General features: G+C 49.7%; 2 annotated features.

Moving 5' to 3' along the window:
- Positions 746–795: an enhancer, noted in NCBI's record as "active region_5838". NCBI's record gives its function as "activates an Ori minimal core promoter by ATAC-STARR-seq in GM12878 lymphoblastoid cells {active_cell/tissue: GM12878}" and the evidence as "EXISTENCE:reporter gene assay evidence [ECO:0000049][PMID:35858748]".
- Positions 886–1,005: an enhancer, noted in NCBI's record as "active region_5839". NCBI's record gives its function as "activates an Ori minimal core promoter by ATAC-STARR-seq in GM12878 lymphoblastoid cells {active_cell/tissue: GM12878}" and the evidence as "EXISTENCE:reporter gene assay evidence [ECO:0000049][PMID:35858748]".

Genomic DNA, 2,334 nt, shown 5'->3' on the forward strand with positions numbered 1-2,334 from the left:
TTATAATCTACCAGCTTTGGCAACCAAGGCCCAGAAAGCAGGCTGCAGTTGGGTGTAAGGACAGCAAAACATCTGGCTCCTTCTTCTTTACTGCCCACTTTTTTTCTTCTCCTGCCCTAAATGCTTGCTAAACCTTAGATAATTACAGGTTCAGGAAAAAAAAAATTCACATGCTTTAAAAGTCTCAGTTCCGGCCGGGCGCGGTGGCCCACGCCTGTAATCCCAGCACTTTGGGAGGCCGAGGCGGGTGGATCATGAGGTCAGGAGACCGAGACCATCCTGGCTAACAAGGTGAAACCCCGTCTCTACTAAAAATACAAAAAATTAGCCGGGCGCGGTGGCGGGCGCCTGTAGTCCCAGCTACTCGGGAGGCTGAGGCAGGAGAATGGCGTGAACCCGGGAAGAGGAGCTTGCAGTGAGCCGAGATCGCGCCACTGCAGTCCGCAGTCTGGCCTGGGCGACAGAGCGAGACTCCGTCTCAAAAAAAAAAAAAAAAAAAAAAAAAGTCTCAGTTCCTCATCTTGCCCTGCTGGGGACGTCCCCTAGGTGAGAGAATGAAACAGACAAGGAGCCCTGGCGGAGTTTTTCCAGAGAGTTGGGATTTGTGTTATTTTCGCGTGAATGATGAAAGCACTCCCAGGCTTAGCATGACACAGAGTGTTTCTCTTGGTGCAGGGACACCTTTCTTCAAGTCCCCTCCAGAAGTGGCAGATTTGTGCACAGTGGATATTGACCCTGGGTGAGGAACAAGCGTTCTTCTCTTGTTTGACCTCAGTGGCACAGATCTACTCAGCAGCTACTCTGGGCCCAGCACTCTCCTGCGTGTGGAAGGACATACTGGGAAAAATATTAGGATGTGATTCCTGCCTTCATATAGCTGAAGTCTCACAGGTATAAAGCAAAAGCAAGTCATGCAAGATAATGTGTGTCCATGTACCTTGAAGGGGGTTCCAAAATGGAGCTATGTGGAACAGAAGTGGGAGTGAGAGAATCAGTGAGGGTGAGTGTAGAAGAGAAAAGCTGCTGCAGGCCCTGCAGTGAGGCTGGGAAGAAAGGAGGGCATGCCGGATGAGGACAGGGAGGGCAGTGGCTCTGAGGAGAATCGCTGCTGTGTCCCCATCACTGTCTTCTGGGATAGAGTCCAGAGTTCAAGATCGGTGACTGTAGTAGGAGCTCCAATTTTACCAGTAGCTGGGGGATGCGGCAATTGTTCAGGGGAGGGGTTGGCAACATTTCTGAAAGAGCCAGAAAGTAAATATTCTAGGCTTTGTAGGCCAAGAGGCAAAATTGAGGCTATTGTGTAGCTACTTATATAACCATATACAATGTAATCTTTTAAAAATGTGAACACTTAGCCTCAGCTCCAGAGCTGTACATCCCTGTCACGTCAGTTCACCAGTTAATCAGTCACACAGAGGCTGCCTCCTGGGTATCCAGTCATGCCTGCGAAGCCCTGATCTGTCTCCCCTGATCTGACTTTGCTCAGTTCAACTTGCGTTTATTGCAAATGCCAATCTTTGGTTTGGGGAGGAGGTCGCATGCTGGCATTTCCTAGCCCACGGTAGACCTGGGAAGAAAGATTTAGCTTGCTTCTACCGCCTCATAAAATTTAGATTTTTTTTTCTATGTGTCTGTGGGACAGACTGCTCTATTTTCAGGGAAGAGAAATAAGATGCCAAACTGGGAATTCTGCCTATGACTCTGGCCAGTGTGTTTTTCGCTGAGCTGTTGGTGGAAGTGGACCCCCACCACCAGAGCATAGGCCTCTTTCTCCTGCTGGCCTTAGACTTTTTCTGGAGGGGGCATTTCACCTGCCCCACCCTCCTTAGCTGGTTCTTCTCTGGCTATACAGGTAAGCCCTGGGCCGGGTGGCCTCTGTGTGCACATGGTGTGTGTATGGTACGCACAGGTATAGCAGTGTCTACTCATGTAGCAGTGTGCATGGGTCTGGGGCCAGGGTAGCCCAGCCTGGAGTGACTCAACTCCAGACCACAGACCTCCAGACAGAGGAAGATGCCTGTTACCTTCTCTTTTACTTGTCATTTATTTTCTAGCATCAAATTTTCCTCCAAGGGATGTTTCCACTAGAAGGAACCTTACAAATAATCTGGTCTGTCCTGTTCGTTTCACAGATGAACAAAGCAAGGCTCAGAGAGAAGAGGTAACTCACCCAAGGTCCCGCCTCCAATTAAGGCAGGATTGGCATTGTTTTCCCTGACTCCTAGGCTTGATTCCTCCCAGTAATTCCACTCCATGTCTTCTGCATGAAAGCCTCCCAGTTCTCATTCAGCTGCCCTACCTACACTCCTTCCTGAGGCACATCCCTGCCATGTC

The sequence above is a fragment of the Homo sapiens genome, chromosome 12 (assembly GCF_000001405.40).
Source record: "Homo sapiens chromosome 12, GRCh38.p14 Primary Assembly".
NCBI classification, from domain to species: domain Eukaryota; kingdom Metazoa; phylum Chordata; class Mammalia; order Primates; family Hominidae; genus Homo; species Homo sapiens.